Genomic DNA, 22,417 nt, shown 5'->3' on the forward strand with positions numbered 1-22,417 from the left:
AAAAGGATAAGCGTTGGCATTTTGCAAAATAAAGTTTAATTTGTAAATTTAAAAGTTTAATGATTGCCTGTTAAAGTATTGGCTTTTGGTTCTTTTAGCTGGGGCAGTAAACCTAGATGAAGTGAAGTTTTTTATTTAAAAGAAACTGTACTTTCTGTACTTTGAAAACTGAACTAGTAAGATTGAATTTATTTGGAAATGGCAGTGAAACTTGAACTCTGTAAGCACCTCTTAGGTGGCAGATGCCGTGCTACCTGGTAAATGGCTGTGTCAGGTACTGTGCTGAGCAGGACTGACAGGGAGCTTACAGTTTAGAGAATGCAGACATGTCCACAAGCAACGATAGTACAGCAGCCGTAAAATGATAGGGGAAGGGTAGTGTTATAAGGCCGTCCATGGGAGGGATAGATACGTAACCGATTTTGCACGTCATAAAATGCTTCCCACTGGTGACATCTAAGCTGAGACCTGAAAGGTGAGTAGGATTTGGTCAGGTGAAGAAAGAGGGAAGGTTGTGACATGTTTATGGAATTGAAAATAGTTCAGGCCGGGTGTGGTAGCTCATGCCTGTAATCCCAGTACTTTGAGAGACCGCAGCAGTAGGATCACTTGAGCCCAGAAGTTTGAGGCTGCAGTAAGCTGTGATGCACCACTGCACTTCAGCCTGGGTGACAGTGAGACCTTGTCTCAAGAAAAGAAAAGAAAATAGTTCAATAAGTCTGGAATTTATCATTGAAGGTAAGAATTGTAAGTGATAAGGCCACGGAGGTGTTCAGGGTCAGGTGATCATATAATTTTTTAGTCCAAACTGGAATACTTTCAAGAAAAAAGAGGGTACAGTTAATTACACTGAGATAACAGGCATAAACTGGGGCTGGCCTGGATAGATGAGGATACATGGTCAGCCTCTTTATAAGCCATGCTTATTAACATTGGGGTTTATTTAGTGAACAGATAGATGTTGAGCACCTACTGTGTTCCAGGCATTGTGCTTGGGCTTTCTTGTAAGAGCTGTGGGAAGCACTGGAAGGTTTGAGTCAAGAGCGGCAATGCTTAGTGTGCATGTTCAAAAGGTCCTTGGCGCTGCAGGCGGAAGATGAATTGGAGCAAGGCGCAGCAGGTGTGCAGAGGCTGGAGGAGGCTTTTGAAGTGAATGAAAATAATTAAAGATGACTTGGACTGTGGAACTCACACATGGGATGGAGAGAAGTGAGTAGATTGTAGCAGTATTTAGAAAGTAGATTTGCCAGGCCTTTCTTAGAGGTGGAAAGGAATGAGAGGAGGAGTCAAGAGTACCTTTCAGTTTCTTTTTGGGTGAGTGGATAGGAGAAGTTCCATCTAGAAGGCTGGGGAATGCTGGAGAGAAGGCAGGGTCTGTGCTGGAATGCTGATGAGGCCTTGCTTGGTGTGTTGTGTGCTCTTGGAACTGCATGCAGGAATCTGATAGGTGACAGATTTTCAAGTCTGAACCTCAGGAGGAAAGATCTAAGAAATGGACTTGGGATTCATCAGTATAAAGATGGCAGGTGACGTTGTCAGAGTGGATGTTACCCAGGGAGAATGTCTAGAGTAAGAAGAGTGTAGGACCCTGGAAAACACAGACATTTACAGTGTGGCCTGGCTAATGCCTGGGCAAGGAGAGAAGGTGGAAAGGAAGGAAGAAAACCAGAGGAGGGCAGGTGTGGAGGGGCGAGGGGAGGAGAGTGTTTCAAGAAGGAAGAGTGGACAGCAATGTCAGACGCAGTCAGGCAGTCAGGTGGGTTGAGGGCCTAGCATGGTGATTGGATTTAGCAGTAAGAAAGCTGCCGGTATCCTTGGCCAGAGCTGTTTCAGTGGTGTCAGTGTGGGCAAGGCTTGACTAGTGCAGGGTGAAGAGTGAGTAGCAGATGAAGTAGACCCGGGGCATGTGGAAAACTTCTCTGAAATTTGAATTTCTTGATGTTAAGAGAAGGTATTATTCAAAGGAATATGTGGGGTTGAGGGATGGTTTCTTCTTCCTTTTTAAGGATGTGACAGACAGGTGGGTTAAACACTAATGGGAAGGAGAGCGTGGCGAAGTTGTAATCAGTGCGTGGATGGGAGGAGTAACCAACAGTCCCAGTGCAACTGGGTGGGCTCACATGCACATTATCTTTCGAGTTTGCTGGGGGAGTCTCTTCCCTTGGCTTCTCTTTTTTTTCCACTTTCTGAAGTTGGGGTAAAGGTCATGGGCCTGTTATGTAACCCCCAAGAGCTCCCTTAAACAAAAATTTGATAGTGGTGTTTCATTGTCAAGCTCCATACATCTGATAATGCTTGGTGACTGTATTTAAAATATTTTATTTTTCCTGAAGGCTCCTGGCAGGTCACTTTTAAGAGCATATATCTTCTTTGCCTTTTCAGCTCATGGCACTGCTGGCTGCCAGGGGCTGGGCCTGTGCTGGGGTGCACCAGCTGTCAGCTGAATAAGGCTAACGCCATAGAAGGAAGGAGCATGCAGTTAGGATACCATTCTGGTTTATTCCACAATTGTACATTTTTACTTATTTCTATGGTCTTTTGAAAATAGTGATAAGGCTGGGCGTGGTGGCTCATGCCTGTAATCCCAGCACTTTGGGAGACTGAAGTGAGTGAATCACTTGAGGCCAGGAGTTCAAGACCAACCTGGCCCACATGGTGAAACCCTATTTCTACTAAAAATACAAAAAAATTAGTGGGGCATGGTGGCACATGCCTGTAATCCCAGCTGCTCAGAAGGCTGAGGCAGGAGAATTGCCTGAACCTGGGAGGTGGAGGCTACAGTGAGCCGAGATCAAGCCTCTGCACTCCAGCTTGGGTGACAGAGCAAGATGGTCTCAAAAAAAAAAAAAACCCTAAAATAAATAAATATAAATAAACCTCTACAAAGTATACAAAATCTTAGTTAAAAAAGAATAAAAATAGTGGTAAAAATACATAACATAAAATTTACCATTTTAAGTATATGATTCAGTGACATTAGATACATTCACAATGATGTGTAACCATTGCCACTATTTCTAGAACTTTTTTCACCATCCCAAATAGAAACTCTGTATTGCATTAAACAATAACTCCCCATTTCCCACTCCCTGTAGCCCCTGGTAACCCCCATTCTACTTTCTGGCTTCATTTGCCTATTCTAGGTATCTCACATAGTGGAATCATATATTCGTTGTTTTTTTCTTTTTGAAACGGAGCCTCACTCTGTCACCCAGGCTGGAGTGCAGTGGTGCCATCTTGGCTCACTGCACCCTCCACCTCCAGGGTTCAAGCGATTTTCCTGCCTCAGCCTCCCGAGTAGCTGGGATTACAGGCGTTCGCTACCACACCCAGCTAATTTTTTGTATTTTTAGTAGAGACGGGTTCACCATGTTGGCCAAGCTGGTCTTGAACTTCTGACCTCAAGTGAGTGACCTGCCTCTGCCTCCCAAAGTGCTGGGATTACAGGTCTGAGCCACCGTGCCCGGCCTGTTTGTCCTTTTGTGTCTGGCTTATTTCAATTAGCGTAATGTTTTCAAGGTTCGTCTGTAATGTAGCATGTATCCGAACTTCATTTCTTTTTATGGCTGAATAATATTCCTTTGTATTTTGTTTATTCATCCGTTGATGGACATTTGAGTTGCTGCCACCTTTTGGCTATTGTGAATGGTGTTGCTGTGAACTTTGGCTTACAAGTATCTGAGTCCCTGCTTTCAGTTCTTTTGAGTGGAATTTGCTGGATCATATGGTAATTCCGTGTTTAACTTTTGGAGGAACTGCCAAACTGTTTTCTACCGTGGCTGTACCATTTTATATTCCCACCAACCATTGATTTAGTTTGACTTCTGTTGTTTAAAGAAGTATATCTGAATTTTACACATACTCCAAAACTGTAATTATTTGAATTAATTGGAGTAGAAATTAATTTGAAATAATGAAATGTCTGATTACTGGACATCAAAAGCTGCTTTGCATTAGGCCATGGTTCTCAGAATTCACAATCCTCCTTTCCATTTTTTCCTCCCTCCCTCCCTTCCTCCTCTCGCTACCATGGTCACTCTCAGCTTCACAATAAGCACGTGTATCTTAGGGCATTTGAACTTCAAATACTACAGCACCTCACACGTAAGAACTCTGTAACAGTAGACCTCTATTTCCCTTTCCTGTCCTATGTGCTACTTTTTTGTTTTGTTTTTTTGAGACAGGGTCTTGCTTTGTTGCCCAGGCAGGAGGGCAGTGGCGTAATCACAGCTCACTGCAGCCTCAACCTCCTGTTTAAGCGATCCTCCCACTTCTACCTGCCAAGTAGCTAGGACTACAGATGCAGACCACCATGCCCGGCTAATTTTTGTATTTGTAGAGACAGGGTCTCTCCACGGTGCCCTGGCTGGTCTTAAATTCCTGAGTTTGTGCGATCTGTCCACCTCGGCCTCCAAAATGCTGGGGTTACAGGCATGAGCCACTGTGCCTGGCCTTTGTATTTTTGTCATACATTTTATTTCCCAGTATTATAGACTCCAGAATATGTTGTTGTTATTGTTTTAAAAGTCAGTTATCTTCTTAGTTTTCTTTCAGAAAAATTAAATGGTGAGTTTTTTTGTTTGTTTGTTTGTTTGTTTTGCATGGCCCATGTATTTACCATTCCTGGTGCTCTTCCTTCTTTTGTGTGGATTCAGTTTTCCATCTAGTATCATTTTCGTTCTGGTAAAAGCATGTTTGACATTTCCTGTAGTATTGCTTTGCTGGTGACACATTCTTCCTCAGCTTTTGTCTGAAATGCCTTTATTTCACCATCATTTTTGAAGGATGTTTTTGCTGGGTATAGAATTCTAGGTTGGTAGTTTTTGTTATTTTTCAGCATTTTTAAGGTGACATTTGGCTTGTACATGTTGTTCTTGAGAATTCTGCAGTTATTCTTTGTTCCACTGTATGTAATAATATATGTTTTTCTCCTTTCTCTGATTTTAAGGTTTTTCTCTTTGTTGCTGATATTCTGAAACTTGACTATGATGTGTCTTTGTGTGGTTTTCTTTGTGGTTTTTTTCCTGTGGAATTTATTCAACTTCTGGGATCTGTAGGTTATAGTTTTCACAAATTGGAAATTTTTGACATTACTTCTTCAGACACTTTTTCTGTCTTCCCCTCCATCATTCTGGGATTTGAATTACATGTATACAGTAACTGTTGTTGTTTCATAGGTGACTAACTGGGTAGGGGAATGTCTGGTTCCCTTACTATCCGGTGAAGTAGCAGAACCACCTTTTGTAGGAATCAGTTATCAGGCCCTTTACTTTCCCTTGAACTCTAGGCTAGTTCCAGAACCTTTGGTGGACTGGAAAGAGGAAATAGTTATGCCACAATTTTTAGTACATGCAAATGTACATGTAATGTTTAAAAAAAAAAAACAACAAAGGTGGTGATAGCCTGCATTTACTGGGCCATATGTGCCGGTCCCTATTCTATGGGCTTTATTTTTATTACTTCATTTCTCCTTTGTGTCACAAGGCACAGGCAGTTTGAGACCAAGACTTTAAGGAATTGGTCCAAGTTTTCAAGACTGGTGAAACAGTGGTGTGAGGATTTGAACCTATGTGCCTGGCTTCAAAGCCAGCTTATCATTGGTATGTTGCCAGTAATTCCATTTCCTCCCCCTTTGGGGAAGAAGTGAGACCTTGTAAATACACACACTGGTGAGGGTGTGGGAGATGGGTACTCTCAACTGGGAGTAAGTTTCTGCCAGTTGTCTCTGGGGTTTGGTATTTGCTACTGTTTGATTTTAAACTTTACTATATTTGTATTCCTGTCTCCCCACCCCCAGTGAGCATGCAGTTTTACAATTGGGAAAAGCAATAAAGCTATTTTAATTTGGGGGCTGGTGGTGAAGTTATTTTCTTAGCCACAGCAAAGTAAGTTTTAATGTGCCTTGCCCTAGGCGTTAAATAGTGGGTTAGTAACCTTGCAGCTGTGATAAAGAACAAAGTAGCTATGCTGATGTGAAGAGTCCTAAGAGAAAATATGAATAAATAAAAGTCCTAAATAAATGAAATGTAGAAGAGCACATAAGAAATGTTAAGAGTATGTAAGCATATACTGTGATTCTAATTGCTTCTGTGCATGTGTGTGCTTTGACTAGTTGTGTACATGCAAACACGTATGGCAAATTTATAACATTTTGAGGGATATTTTAAAAATCAGCACTAATGCCCTTTGGCACTTTTAGAAACTGTTCCTTTTTAACTTCATTGTGTTGCTTTTGTTGTTGTATTAATAAAAGTGTAGGTATGTATTTATATACACTGAAATTATTGGTTCTCAGAATGAAAAGTCTAGGAATATGGTTTACCCCCTTTTATGTGGCCTTTAATGCAGATTCTGTTTGCCATCTAATCTGCTTTTTAGTTACACTTTGGAGTGTTTTGTGCTTTGTTATAATCAGGGAAGCATTCTTTCATAAATTTTGATGTTTGCAACATGACTCTGAGCATCCTAGGTAGAGACAATCCAAGACAGTGCTTTAAATTTTTAATTTTTTTGACGGGATAATAGGTTCATGTTAAAAAAAAAAAAAAAACCCCACAACACTACAAAAGGGCAAAAAAACCCCACTGAAAATTCCTTTCCTATCTCTCCTCTCCTTTAGCCATCTTCTTTCCTCAGGGGCAGTGTTACCCATTTCTTTTACATTGTTACCGAGATTTCCTGTGCATACACAAGCAAATGCATGTACTGCATCGCTGGGCCCTCTTTCTTACACAAGTGGTGTGCCTGATTTGTTTTCTCACTTAATACATATATATTAGAGATCATTCCACACCAGAAAAGTAAGCAAATCTTGTTCTTTTGGCTGCGGTATAGTACTCCGTTTCGCAGAGATCCCATACTTGATGAACTAGTCCTGCCTTTTAGGTTGTGTTTGGTCTTTTGCTATTCTGGGTGGCATTGCAGTAAATATGAATAACCATGTATATATGTCAGTTTGCAAAAGTCTATTTCTAGAGGATAAGTTCCTAGACTTTCTCGTTAAGATACATGTGTGTTTGTAATCCTGATAGGCATTACCAAATTGCCTCTTCTGTTAGCGCGATGTAAGGATACCTGTTTCCCTAAACCTTATGCCCTTACCAGCATGGTGTTAGCAGAGTTTTGCTTTCGTTTTTTGGTAGACTGATAGGTGAAAAATAAACTGTTTCATTTTATATTCTTTTCTGAGTACAGTTTTACATTTTAAAAACCATTCTTTTCTTACTGACTCGTACTCTTTATATAGAGTAGCAGGAGCAATCTTTAGTCTGTGTTATGAATTGCAGACATTTTCCCCAGATTGTCATTGATTTTTGTTGTTGTTGTTTTGAGATGGAGTTTCGCTCTTGTTGCCCAGGCTGGAGTGGAGTGCAGTGGCACAGTCTCGGCTCACTGCAACCTCCACCTCCTGAGTTCAAGTGATTCTCCTGCCTCAGCCTCCCAAGTAGTTGGGATTACAGGCAGCCACCACCACGCCAAGCTAATATTTTTTTGTTTTTTTGTATTTTTAGTAGAGACAGGGTTTCACCATGTTGGCCAGGCTGCTCTTGAACGCCTGACCTCAGATGATCCACCCGCCTCGGCCTCCCAGAGTGCTGGGATTACAGGCGTGAGCCACCACGCCCGGCCTGTCATTGATTTTTATCTTGTTTATGTTGGCTGTTGCCAGGCGGGTATGTTTTATTTTGGGTGAAGAGACATTTCTCCCATTCTCCCTGTAAAAGACTTGTCGATTTTATTTCATAAAGTCTCCTCTACTGCAAGAGTATTTTTAGAAATTCTCCTAAGATTTTCTTTGGTGTTTTTTATGGTTTTTTAAAAAGACATTTTATTGTGGAGCATGCCAAACACATTCAGAAGTAGAAGAGTATAATAAAGCTGTTTGTAACCATTATCCACCTTTGGCAACTAACCAGCTCATAGCCTTATTTCATCAAGACCCCATCAGTGTCTCTTGCTCCTGCATTATTTTTGAAGAAATGGCAGGTATTTTAACACTTCATCTGTAAGTATTTTCATGTATACCTCTAAAGATGGGGAGGAAAGAGGAAAGTCTTTTAAGAATATAACCACAATGCTGCTTTGATCCCTAAAAAATGAATACTTTTAAATATCACAGTCCTTTAAGAATTCAAATTTCATAATCATTTCTGCAGTTGGACTCAGAATCCTAATAAAGTCTGCATATTACTATCACGATCAATCTTCTCTTCATTTATAGGTTCCCTTACCTCACTCCCAACCCTTATCCCCTACTTGTTTTGTCTTTGGGACGTATTTGTTGGGATGGATTTCTGTAGTACCTTGATTTCTTACCTTACCCTCATTACATAGTTTAATATATTCTTTTGTATTTCTTGTTACTAGGATTTAGAGGGTGAATAGATTCACATTCTTTTTTTTTCAAGTATATTTCATAAGCAGGATTGTATTCCATCAGAAGGCAAGTAATGTCTGCTTGTCTTTGTGATGCACTATGCTTAGATGAATTAAATCTTTGGGGATTGAAAAAAATGATCTCATTCTATTATTCCTTCATTTATCAGCTGAAATGCTTGTAAAAGAGAAACTTTTATCTACTACTTGGTTACTTAATAGTACAGTTCTTAAAGGATAAATGGTTGATTTTTTTGCCTTTATTTACCAGTTGTCAAAATGAATTCATTTCCTACCATTCTATAATGATGACCAATTAGTTTTATCATCATGAACTCATGAGTTTAAGCAAATTTAATGTTTCAGTCCATTGTGGTCATTATCCCTATTGATGCTTGTATTCTTCCACATTTGGACAGCAAGCTCATCTTCAGGTTGGTACCTGTGTCTTTTTGACACAACCAGTAGGCTTTGCTAGTAGTGTCTTTGATAATCTGATAGGAAAAGATGTTCCAGGCCCATCTTGTATGTTTTATATGGGATTCTTGTTTTTTCCCACTGAAACCTGGAGTCAACTATTTCTCTAAGTAAATCTGGTTCCTTTTAATGAAAAATGCTGCTCGGAATTCCCAATCTGGGCACTAGATATGTGATTACCTTTTTTAAAAAAAAATTAATCTTTGACCCATTATATGATTTATTTTGTTGGGAGAAGTGAGGTAGGAATTCATTTTTTTCCTTCAGATAGTTACTTATTTGTTCTAAAACAATAAAATGCCATCTTTATCATGTTACCTACGTTTCTATATGTCTTTGGGACTTGTTGTGGACTTCGTACTTTTCTAGTTTTTCCTTGTTTTTTTTTTTTTCCATGAAAAAGATTGGGGGCCATTCTTGTTTGTTTATATGTCCAATTGAATTTTAGGATTAGTTTGTCCTGTTTCAGAAAAAAAAAATCCTATTTGTATTTTTATTAGAATTATTGAAGGAGAGGGGAGAGGTGCTATTGATGATATTGGGGCTTCTCATCTAAAAATATGGGGAGACTCTTTGAATCCATTTGTATTGTATAACAAACTACCCCAAAACTTAATGACATAAAACAACAAATACTTTGTATTTCTTACAGTTCTGTGGACTGACAATGCGTGGTTCTTGTGGTCTGGAGAGCCCATCTGAGGCTGGATAGTCTTAGGTGGCCTTTCCTTCATGTTAGGGTCTCACCTTACACAGCTAGGATGATGCGGGCCTCTTTCCATATGGTCTCGGATCTGCAGAGTTACTAACCCAGCCAGGTTCAGTGGTAGCACAGGTGATCCTGGCAGCAAGAGATGGCAGCCCCCACCCCATGTATAAGTGCTTTTCATGCCTATGTTAGTATCACATATGCTATCGTTCTGTTGGCCAGAGTAAGCACATGAACTCGTCCGGAGTCTTTTTTCTTTTTCTTTTTTCTTTTTTTTTTTTTGAGATGGAGTTTTGCTCTTGTTGCCCAGGCTGGAGTGCAATGGCGCAATCTCGGCTCACCGCAGCCTCCACCACCCGGGTTCAAGTGATTCTCCTGCCTCAGCCTAGCGAGTAGCTAGGATTACAGGGACGTATGTTTAGTAGAGACGGGGTCTGTCCATGTTGGTCAGGCTGGTCTCAAACTCCTGTACTCACGTGATCCGCCTGTTTCGACTTCCCAAAGTGCTGGGATTACAAGTGTGAGCCACCATGCCCGGCCATTGTCCAGAGTCTTAATGGGAGGAGTGACAAAGTCATATTGCAAATTGGTATTGATATAGGGGTGGGAGGATTTACTGTGGCCATTGTTACAATCTACCTTGATGTATTAGCATGTTCTCACACTGCTAGTAAAGACATACCTGAGACTGGGTAATTTATAAAGAAAAGAGATTTAATGGACTCACAATTCCACATGGCTGGGGAGGCCTCACAATCATGGTGGAAGGCAAAGGAGAAGCAAAGGGACATCTTACATGGCAGCAGGCAAGAGAGCTTGTGCAGGGGGACTCCCCTTTATAAAACCATCAGATCTCATGAGACTTACTCACTACCACGAGAACAGTATGGGGGATACCACCCCCATGATTCAGTTATCTCCACCTGGCCCTGCCCTTGACACATGCAGATTATTACAATTCAGGGTGAGATTTGGGTGGAGACACAGCCAAACCATATCACATACTCTCCATTTTTTCCAATTTTCTGTGTTATTTAAGAAATTCTAAAGTTTTTTTCCAGATAGGTTTTACACATTTCTTAAGTTTATTCCTAAATATTTCATCTTCCGCCATTACTGTACATGATGTCTTTTTCCTCTCATTTTAATTTAGAATTCTTGGACAGGTGACATACACACACACAGTTAAAATTAAATGATATGAAAAGAAATATAATGAGAAACGTCACTTCCACTTGTGTTATCACTGAGTTTCTTCTCCCATGTTTCTAGGTGACCAATTTAAAATTAATTTCTTGTTTTATTTAATGTTTCTTTATGGAAATACTGGCAAATATAAATATTCTGCTCATGAAAAAGGTGTAGCATGCTATATGCCCTGTTCCATAAGTTACCTTTTTTGACCATGTATTCATTCCATGTCTGAGTATATAGATTGTTCTCATTCTCTTGTTGCTGTATAATATTCCATTTTGACAGCATAGCCTGGTTTATTTAATCAGTTGCCTGTTAGTAGAAGCTATATTGGGGTAGCATTCCTTAGCATCAGATTTGCAGAAATCGAAAAGTGGAGTGATTTATTCTGTTTGTGAAGCTGTAGAAAAATGTTACTTTCGTATATAATACTGGTAGAAGTTTAAATAGTACAACCCCAAATTGTGGCCGTGGGGATCTGGCAATGTCTGCCAGATTAATTTGTCTCTCTTAGTGTGTGAGATTGAGCGTTTTGTCATGCATTTAAGGGCCATTGTATTCTTTAATGAACTGTTTGTTCCTCTGCCCATTTTTGTATTAGGTTGCTGGTCTTTTTCTTGAGTTCCAGAAACTCTTTATGTATCAGAAGATTAACACTTTGTGATATGAATTGAAAATACTCTTTCCTTTATGACTTCTGCTGTATGTTAAGACTAGTGATTTTTACATAATTTTGTTCCGGGTCATGTTATAGGAGTCAGCAAATTTTGGCCCATGAACAAAATCTAGCCTGTCATGTGCAGTTTGTAAATAAAGTTCCACTGGAACGTGGCCATATCCATTTGTTTATATATTGTCTGTGGTGGCTTTTGCACTGCGGCAGCAGAGACAGACTGAATGGCCTGCAAACTCGAAAATATTTACTATCTGGTCCTGTACAGAAAAAGGAAAAGCAACCCCTCATTTAAAGCAATAAAATCAAAGTGTTTTGTATGATACAGCCATTTTGACATGGCCTTAAAAAAATAGCCTAGGCAACATAGTGAGATCTCGTCTCTTTAAAAAAATTAAAAAATAAAATATTAGCCAGGAGTGGTGGCATGTGCCTGTAGTCCTGTCTATCAGGAGGCTGAGGCAGGAGAATTGCTTGAGCCCAGGAGTTCAAGGCTGCAGTGAGCCATGATTGCACCACTGCCCTCCAGCTTGGGTGACAGAGCAAGATGCGGTCTCTCAAATACAATAAAATATCCAATTAAATTCAAGTTTTGTGTGTTTAATTATGAAGTAAGGCACAGCACAGGCAGTCACACGTAGGTTTCAGAAGTATCTGTTTTGACACATTACTTGGTAATCGTGATGGTACATGTGATATGGCCAGTTGATGCCACCACATCAAATCACTGTTAAGATATCTTTGTCTAATTGTTCTTGTGTGCACCGCATATAGAAGCTTTGATCTGGGTGAGTGTGGGTAGAATGACTCTTAAAATCATCCCAATCTCTAGAAGTTTGGTTACAGTGTAGCCTCAGTTTGTATTTCCTGTGGTCTTAAGTACTTTCCAGAGCTGTTCTGCACGAGTGAACTACAGAGAGAGGGAGAGCAGTTTGGAAGAGTATGGTACAATTTGATTTATGTATTTTAAGTACTCAGAACTCTGCTCCCCTAGAATTGTACAGTCGCCTTTTGTTACACTCAGATTTAAGTTTACACTAAGTATTTCTTGGGAATTTGTAATTCTACTCAGGGAATTTCTATTTACATTTCTGTTTGACTTGGAAATTTCCCAAACTGCTTGTCTAATTGACCATCAGTTTAAAAAATTCCTCTAAGTGCATTTGTTTCAGAATAACAGATATAAACCTATTTTAGGAAAAAACATTTTTAAAGAACATATCAATTTACCAGTAGTTTATTCTTGAAAATTTTACATACAGAATATTTAAAAATTTTTATTCATTCTCAATTGCTGCTACCAATTCTTTTTAGAAATTTCTTCTGTTTGGAAAAGATCTTTTGCTAGAACAACTGTTAAAATGTTCTATCATCTTGACTATACTTTTGAATGGATTATTAAAGAAATTGCTTCTCAACATTTAAGGAAACTTCATTTCCTTCTTTGGAAATTTTAAGAGCAACATTCTGAGAACATGATAATTAATTGACCCGCATCCCCTTGGAGCTTCTTATCTGGTGCAGCTGACTTGGCCCTGCCATAGTTTAACAGTTTGAATAATGACACTGGTGAAACTGTAGAAAGCGTGCTCATCAGGCTTTCCGATGACTCCCAGCAAGAAAAGATAAGGGAGAATTGGATGATGGCTTCAGAATTCAGAAAGCTCTTAATAGGTTGGAGCAGTGGGTTGAATCTAATAGCTTGAAATTTTATAGCGATAACTATAATATTCTGTATTTAGTTCACATAACAGTGGAGTAAGCGCAAGGTTGAGCAAAAGCTGTGGAAATCACTGATATGCAGTAGTCCCCCTTTAGTGACGGGGGATATGTTCCGAGACCTCCAGGGATGCCTGCAACCAAGGATAATACCAAACCTTATGTGTGTACTATGTTTTTTCTATATATGCCTATGACAAAGTTAATTTATAAATTAGATACAGTAAGAGATGCACAAGAATAACTAATAATAAAATAGAACAGTTATTATAGTATGCCAGCAACACCACTCTTGTGCATCAGGGTCATTATTAAGTAAAATAAGGATGACCTGAAGATGAGCACTGCCATACCTGATAGTCAGTCTACTAAATGGGACGGCTACTACATGACAGTCAGGTGGGCAGTGTCTATGGTGTAGAGATGCTGGACAAAGGGATGATTCATGTCCTGAGTGGGAGAGTGTGAGATTGCATCATGCTACTCAGAATGGCATGGACTCTAAAACTGATAAATTGTTTATTTCTGGAATTTTCTATTTAATATTTTCCAACTGCATTTGATAGCAGTTCACTGAAACCGAGGAACGTGAAACTGTGGAGGAGGGACTACTTATATTGAAAAGCATTTATGCCTTCACCATTTAGATTAAGGACAAATACATCAACATATGTTAATAGCATAATAATGCTCAGGGTCTGTGAAAGTAAGTTCTGTTTCTTCTGATGATCTTAATAAGTCAAGATAAGATTGAGGAAGACGTTAAATATTATACAATTTTGTAAGTCATGAATGTGCTTAAGTTAAACAAGCTTGCCATTTAAAGAGGTAAACTAGTTATACATAGAAATATTACCTACTCTTTATGCAAAACTTCACTTCTCGAGGGTGTCAAATCATTCTTTCCCTGGAATTTCTGAAGATTTACATATTTTATTTTTTAATTGTACTTTTCTGTTTTAAAGATGAGGAGCAACACTGTTGAAGATTTACTGCTTTTTTCCCTAAGATGTAATTGTGATTTATATGCAATCAGAGAGGTAGATACTTAAGAATGGGGCCTTAGCTTTTGCATTCTAACTCCCATATGAACTTTTTTTATTGCCAGGGTTTTGTGAATTTTTTTTCCTTCCTATTTTGAACTGTTTTATTCTCTATTGTTGTGCATTTTAGGATCTAGTTTTTTGGTTTTCATTTTTGCTTAATAAATACAGGTAGTTCTTAGTTCTTATGGCCAGTGTTTTTTTAAATTAGAATGTTTCCTTAATAAATTCTTTGGTTTGGGGTTATTGGTTTGTATTAACTTGGACTCTCTAGGTTGCAAGTGACAAGATGTGGACTGACAGTTTAATAAGCTCATGAGGAGATACATTGGCTCCAGTAACAGAGAAGTCTTCCATGGGGAGAATGAGTGTCAAGTTTGTCCTTCAAACAGGACACTGTTTCTCTTTGTCATTCTGTGCTACATTGACTTCGTTTTTCAGACAGACTTTCTCCACACCTCAGCCAGTTAGCCATTGACAGCAATACCAGAGAGAAGGAGCACTGTCCCCAACTCCCATACCAAAGAGCTCTGAGAAAGAATTCTGATTATCCAGTTTCCAAAAGGAAGGGATGTGGGGCAGACAGAATAACAGATATGTACAACATAGGTCAGATAGAATGTGTATGGTCATACTCCTCTCTTTTCTCAGAAGAGGAGGTATGTGTTAAGAATGGATTATGCACATTGTGGGCAGATGTGTGCTTGCACACTTGGTATTCTAGTGTCTGGAGCATTGAATGGAGAGCTTTGAATCCACTAATGTTTATTTTACTGATAAGTAGATTAGTAGTTAATGGAACAGATACGTGAGATTGATGTCTAGTAGCCATTCATGTCATCTGTAATACTTTTTGAAAGGAAGAGATTAGTTGTGGTTGACAATATATATTGAATATATAGTTTGGAGTTATCCACTGACCAGGACTAGGTGGAAATTTAGCTCTTAGAAATAGTTGAAGAATGAGTTCTTGAAGTATAGCTAATAGTGGAAAATGCAGTATAGGAAAATGGACCATTTCTTTCAAAGACCACATGGAAAATAGATGGCAGTTGGGGTTGAGGCCAGCACCTCTGTCTGTTTGGATACTGTTAGTGGTAGACAAGAGGGGTGAGAAGGGGAAAGTGAGAAAACAGGTGGAGGCAAAATGCAAGGATAGGAAAGAGAAAAGAGGGGTGCTGGGAGATGACGCCCAAAAGCTTTCAGTTTAATTGAAGCTTTAGCATCTCTAGGCTGAATGGTCAATATGTTTTTTTATTGACATGTTATACTTATTTGGAGATATGGTTATTAAATCCTTTTTTCTCCAAAATTATTCTCAGTTCAGATTTCTAAGAAGCATCTGTTTAAGTCTTAATTCAGTGTTTTAGATAAACTTACAAGGTTTATAAACATTTTTCTGTGAATGTCCTTGTCTGTTTTGTGCTTACAACAGGAGATCTACGACTGGGTAACTTATAAAGAACAGAATTTATTCCTCATAACTGTGGAGGCAGGCGGTTCAAGATCTAGGTGCTGGCAGGGTAGGGCCCGGCTCTGCTTCCAAGATGGCGCCTTGAGTGCTCCCTCCTCCAGGGGTAAGGGTGTTGTGTCCTGACACAGCAGACGGGTGAGCGAGAGTAAACCCACTCCCACGAGCCCTTTTTGTAGCAGTGTTGATCCCCTCTTGAGGACAAAGCCTCCGTGACCTAAACGCCCCCCATTTGCCGCACCTCCCAATACCACTGCCTTGGGGGTTCAGTTTCAACATGAGTTTTGGAGGGTCCAAACCCTCTAACCTTAGCAGTGAGTAAGTGCTTAGTAATATTTAAGTGTGTGAGGCTGTTTCCATTTCTTTCTTTCTCACTTGTTTCACATTCTGCTTCACTACATTCTAAGTTTAGTAAACAAGAGGCTTAGGTATTCTATATTTGGAAACTAATTGGATTCAGCTGGATTTTTAAAAATTTCAGCAGGATTCTTGAGGACCAATAACACAACAGCAGGTTCCTCATGCCCGTGAGTGTGGCTTTGCTTCTCCCAGGCTCCACTCTGAGGGCTCGCTTCCTTCCAGCCCGTCCCCTGCCCGCATTTCTGTCCTGTCTGTCCTCATGGCAGGAAGGATCCAGGTTGATGCAATGTGTTTTTAAAAAACACCAGCCGGGCATGGTGGCTCACACCTGTAATCCCAGTATTTTGGGAGGCCGAGGCGGGCAGATCATGAGGTCAACAGATCGAGACCATCCTGGCCAACGTGGTGAAACCTCGTCTCTACCAAAAATACAAAAATTAGCTGGGTGTGGTGGCGCATGCCTGTAATCCCAGCTACTCGGGAGGCTGAGGCAGGAGAATTGCTTGAATCCAGGAGGTGGAGGTTGCAGTGAGCTGAGACTTGCCACTGCACTTTAGCCTGGCGACAGAGAGAGACTCTGGCTCAAACAAAACAAAACAAAAACAAAAACTACCGCAGCCAGGCATGGTGGCTCACGCCTGTAATCCCACACTTTGGGAAGCCAAGGCGGGTGGATCACCTGAGGTGAGGAGTTTGAGACCAGCCTGACCAACATGGTGAAACCCTGTCTCTACTAAAAATATGAAAATTAGCCAAGTGTGGTGGTAGGCGCCTGTAGTCCCAGCTACTTGGGAGGCTGAGGCAGGAGAATCGCTTGAACCCAGGAGGCAGAGGTTGCAGTGAGCCCAAATGGCATCACTGCACTCCAGCCTGGGCAACAAGAGCGAAACAGTCTCAGGAAAAAAAAAAAAAAAAAAACACCACATAACATGACAAGCAGAATTCTGTCCACTTTTGCAGCCATGTCAGGAAAACACCTCAGCATGGCTGCTTTGTTCTTCATGACGCCCTGAGGGGAGCCGTCCTGCTGGCCTGGGCGCCCTGCCATGATCTCCACTCGGGTCCCAGCCTCCAAGGATGGAGGTGGGGAGCTGCTGGGATGTCTTGACTCACAGGCTTTCCCACCATTTGTTTCTTCCCAACAGTTTACTAGGAGAAATTTCAGACATGGAGAAAGGTTGGAATTGAATACCATAGATCCACCATCTAGATTCAGTACCTGCTTTGTCACATATTCGTCCATCAGTCCATCTTACTATTTTTTATGTATTTCAAGATAGCATTTTGGCTTTTTTTTCTTAGTCTGTTATCACTAAATATGAACCTTTATTCTCATTAAAATAATTTCAGGCATCATTAAGCAAATACATAGAAAGGGCAATGGCCAACAAAAGGGCCTTTCAAGTTCTTGCCATATGGTGGGTGTTCAGTAAATATTGTTAAATTAGTGCACTTGCATTAGCCCTGTTAGACTAGCCCTGTCGCTAAACTTGAATTTGCCTTTGAGGACAAACAATTACTTTTAAACCATATGTTTCCTAGGCGCATGTGATCCCCAGTTTATAGGATGGACTTGAGGAAGATAGTCTGTGAAAGACAATCACTTAGAATTTGAAAAGGATTTAAATTATGTATTATATATTATAAAGGTATATATAAAACATTTTAAACACATACCTTGTTTTTACCACGGTGATTCTCTCTTGGGATACATGCACAGCAGTGTTCCAAGGAGTCAGTGTTTCTGGACCCTGTCTCAAGGATCCTCTTGAGGAAGAGCCTGCAAGAGCAGTCCCTCCTTACTCCAGCCAGAATAGCTTTGTCCTAGTCTGTCTTATATGAAATAAAAATTTCATTTAGGGCTGGTCATAGTGGCTCACACCTGTAACCCAAATACTTTGAGAGGAAGATCTCTTGAGCCCAGGAGTTTGAGACCAGCCTAGGCAACATGGTGAAACCTTATCTCTACAAAAAATACAAAAATTAGCTGGGCAGGGTGGCATGTGCCAGTAGTCCCAGCTACTGGGGAGGCTGAGGTGGGAGGATTGCTTGAGCCTGGTAGGTCGAGGCTGCATTGACCCATGATGGCACCACTGCACTCCAGCCTGGGTGACAGAGTGAAACTCTGTCTGGAAAAATAAATAAATAAAAGCTTTTATTTTAAGGAAACGTTTTAAAATCATGGCTGTTTAGGTAACTCGACCAGCACACACTGCCCTATGTAAGTCTTGGTATGGTGGAAGAGTACCCAAATCTTAAATTTCTGAGTTAATGTGGCTAAAGATGCTGCATTATCATTCTTATTAGATAAGGAGCAGTGAACATTTTAATAGCAAGCGATTCTTCTAAAGATGTGTGAATCTTAGATGTGTGTGCGTGTGTGTATGTCTCTGTCTTCAGTTTCTGAGAGTCAGTGTTCCCAGAATGAACAGTTTGTGTATTTCCACTTCTTACCTCCTAAGAGAAAGAAGATAGTCTGTTGTTGTTGTTAATGAAATAGGTGTTTGTTTGTTTGTTTTTTTAAGAGACTGCAGGGTCTCACTGTCGTGCAGGCTGGAGTGCAGTGGCATGATCCTGGCTTACTGTAACTTTGACCTCCTGGGCTCAAGCAATCCTCCCGCCTCAGTTTTTTCAGTAGCTGGTACTACAGGTGCTGGCTACAATGCCCAGCTAATTTTTCTTTAATTTTTTGGTAGAGATGGAATCTCGCTTTGTTGCTCAGGCTGGTCTCGAACCCCTGGCCTCAAGCAATCCTCCTGCTATTTAGTCTCCCAAGTAGCAGGGATTGCAGGTGTGAGCTGCTGCACTCAACCAAAATAGGTATATTTCGAGTAACTTTTTTAGGGTTGATCTCTAAATGCAATGTGGGCAGCTGCCAGAAACCTTCCCTGCCTCCGGAACAGAACAGGGCTATCACCGTTGGTGTTATTCTTCCTCAGAGTAGAGCAGATGAGTCATTTTGGTAATGTCTTCCTTTCTTCCAAAACAGCCACAGCCACTATCATGTTTGTACCAGCATGCTTAGAAAGTGAACTGTACACCTTTTGTGTTTTTACTACTCTGTTTGTGTTTGTAACATCCTCTTTTCCTCTCCACTCCTGATAGGCTCGGGTTATGTATGATTTTGCTGCTGAACCTGGAAATAATGAACTGACGGTTAATGAAGGAGAAATCATCACAATCACAAATCCGGTAAGAGAACTGTACATTCGAGTCTGATTGTCCCATGTGGACTTATTTTTAACAAATCCGGTAAGAGAACTGTACATTCGAGTCTGATTGTCCCATGTGGACTTATTTTTAAGATTTTATTTTTTTGTAAGTTAATCATTCAAACCCACATGATTTTTTTCCTGTTGCTTATGAAATATTGATGGTGAAGTAAGAAGCTGTTATATAAATACAGGAAAAAAGTTCCCTAAAGACAGTTATGTATGTAATTGAGTTTATTATGTCTGCTTATTTTGTATCTTCTTCGATATGTTTATCTTACAATTTTTTAAATTACTTACAACCTTTTAGGTACCCCATAGTTGTCCTGGAACATGGTTCAGTGTGTTTACCCCTAGCATGATAATACTGTATCTCTAGAATAAGTAAAAGATGATGGTGATTTTCCTAAATGTCTTAACTGATTGATCCTATCATCATTTTTCTAAGCTCTTTTCCTAAATCAGATTAGGTTGCCAGAAAGCAATATACTTAGACCAGCTCCAGTGGAGTTAGCTCAGCTCCCAGTGGAGTTCTCTTTGCTGAATTACAAGTTATTGCCTCAGCTTTTATTCAAACAAGAAGCAACTCTATGTATAAAAAGCATTTCTGCATCTTTACCAAACCCTGTTTGAAATTGTGTACATATACATACACACATGCATCTTCAGGTACACTCATATGTATACATATGTACACATAGATACACTCATCTTCAGATGTGTGTCTCTGCTTATATAACTGGGTTTATTATGCCCTCCCAGAGAAGCATCTATGTGATCTCTTATCTCAGGTTCTTTCTCCTGGAGATTGGGTACATTTTGTTTCATAAAGTCAAATCTTTGTAGACTATTGGATTTCTGTTATGGTCTGTGTTGTCAGGAAGCTTAGAGGCAAACATAATATTCATTTGTGTCCAATCTTCTTTGCCCAAGATTCTGTTACAGTTTTTTCCATTATTTCTGTGTGATACTTGTCTCATTACATTTAATTGTCCTTTTTACATGTAACTTTATTGTAACTGTTCTTAAAATATGTAGCAAAATTATGAGATGAACATCATTTGAAATAATGTAACAAAAATTGTATCAATTAATAGTATTTCATTGCAGGCTTATATAGATGGAGAAGGAACAAAAGCAGATAGGGAGAATTTGTCTTTGTAAACTGAGTAAAACTTGAACCCATCGTTACCTGCTTTCTTCACCTGGCTGATTTCGTGACACTGCCCTGTGCATGCCTGTCCTTGGTCCACGCCTCCGCCTCTGGGCCCCACACTGCAACGTGTCTCTTCTGTGTCCTCTCCCTCGTGACCGTCACTCATACTTAATGTGTGTGCAGTCTTGGGAGAGGTACCCTGGAGATACAAAGACAGGAAACCTGGCCCTTGCCCTGTGCTCCTTGTTTTCCAGAGAGGTCTGCATGCCAGTGTTTCTTACTGAATGTTTCCAGAAGGGAACTTGTTGTGTCTGTGCTGTAGAACATGTTGGATCCCACACACCTCTCCCCGGCCTCACTGGCTGTCCTCTTGTGTCCCTCCCCTCTCTGCCTCACGAGTGTTGGGGTTCCCACGTCATTCCACCTTCAGCCCATTTCTTTACACTATGCGGTCTCAGATTTTTGTATTGCCGTCTCTGTGGTGATGACTTTAAACCTGTATCTGCAGCTTCCTCCTGTGGCTCCAGCCTCAGAGGAGGCCAGACACCTTCACCTAGTTTTTTCACAAGCACTTCACACTGACCACGTCCAGACTCAGCTCATCACCCATGTGATGCTCAGCCTACTCCTACTTCTCTGTATTTCTCTGTATTTCTGTTGTGGCGCCTTTCCATTCAGTGAACCAAGGCCCCCAAGGCTAAGTCACTTAAAGCCATTGGTTTCTCTCCCTAGAGTTTTACTCTGTCCAGCCTCTTCTCTCCACCCTGCGCTTCCTGCCAGCGCCCTGAGCTAAGCTCTCATCCTCTTGCCTGGACCATGCACCTTCCTCACTGGCCTTGCCTCAAGCCCAGGGTCTGTCTAAACGGCCAGTGTGGCCAGGTCATTCCTCGCTGGCAGCATTTTCTGTCAGCTGTAGGTCTGTGAGACACCCCACCATGGGCCCCATCAGACCTCGCCAGCCTTTCCCTGTGCACGTGCACAGGCACACACACGTGCACCCATGTACGTACTCTCACGCACTCTCTCACATTATGCATACCCCCACACACACTCGCACACACCCTTATGCGTGCACATGCACACACATGCGCACACACCTCGCACCCTCATACACCTCTCATGCTCTCATACACTTTACATACTCTTTCACGTGTGCACTCTTACACACACGTACCTTCTCACTCTCACCTCTCATGCACACCCACAGTCGCATGCTCACACACATAGGCAGCACTCACACGTGTGAGCACGCACACACACCCTCTTCACTCTCACTTGCCCTCATCCGCACTCATGCTGTCACACATACACCTGCACTCACACATGTGAGCACACACACCCCTCACTCACCTGCTCTCATGCACACCCACACTCATGCTCTCACACATACACATATGCACTCACACATGCAAGCACACACATCCCCTCAGACACTCTCACCTGCTCTCTCACATCCCCACGCTCATGCTCTCACATATGCACTCACGTGTGAGCACGCACACACACCTACTCTCTCACCTGCGCTCACACTCACACTCATGCTCTCACACATGCAGCACTCACCCGTGTGAGTGCATGTACCCCTCAGACACTGTCACCTGCTCTCACACACGCACACTCACATGCTGTCACACAGATGCAGCACTCACCCGTGCAAGCACATACACCCTGCAGATAGTCTCACCTGCTCTCACACATACATGCACTCACCTGTGCAAGCACGCACACCCCTCAGACACTCTCACCTGCTCTCACACATATATGCACTCACCCGTGCAAGCACACACACCCCTCAGACACTCTCACCTGCCCTCACACATACCCACACTCTCCTGCTCTCACACAGATGCAGCACTCACCTGTGCAAGCACATACACCCTGCAGATAGTCTCACCTGCTCTCATACATACATGCACTCACCTGTGCAAGCATGCACACCCCTCAGACACTCACCTGCTCTCACACATATATGCACTCACCCGTGCAAGCACACACACCCCTCAGACACTCTCACCTGCTCTCACACA

The 22,417-nt window shown here is 41.1% G+C and overlaps 1 protein-coding gene across 1 annotated transcript in view; it reads left to right on the forward strand.

Annotated features, from left to right (window-relative positions):
* Nucleotides 1-22,417, forward strand: part of SNX9 (sorting nexin 9) — a 121,832-nt gene that overhangs the window by 25,174 nt on the left and 74,241 nt on the right. Inside the window, exon 2 of the mRNA NM_016224.5 lies at nt 19,128-19,214. Coding sequence (NP_057308.1) covers nt 19,128-19,214 — 87 coding nt within the window. The remainder of the gene's footprint in view (nt 1-19,127; nt 19,215-22,417) is intronic.

This window comes from Homo sapiens, chromosome 6 (genome assembly GCF_000001405.40).
Source record: "Homo sapiens chromosome 6, GRCh38.p14 Primary Assembly".
In the NCBI taxonomy this organism is placed as follows: Eukaryota; Metazoa; Chordata; class Mammalia; order Primates; family Hominidae; genus Homo; species Homo sapiens.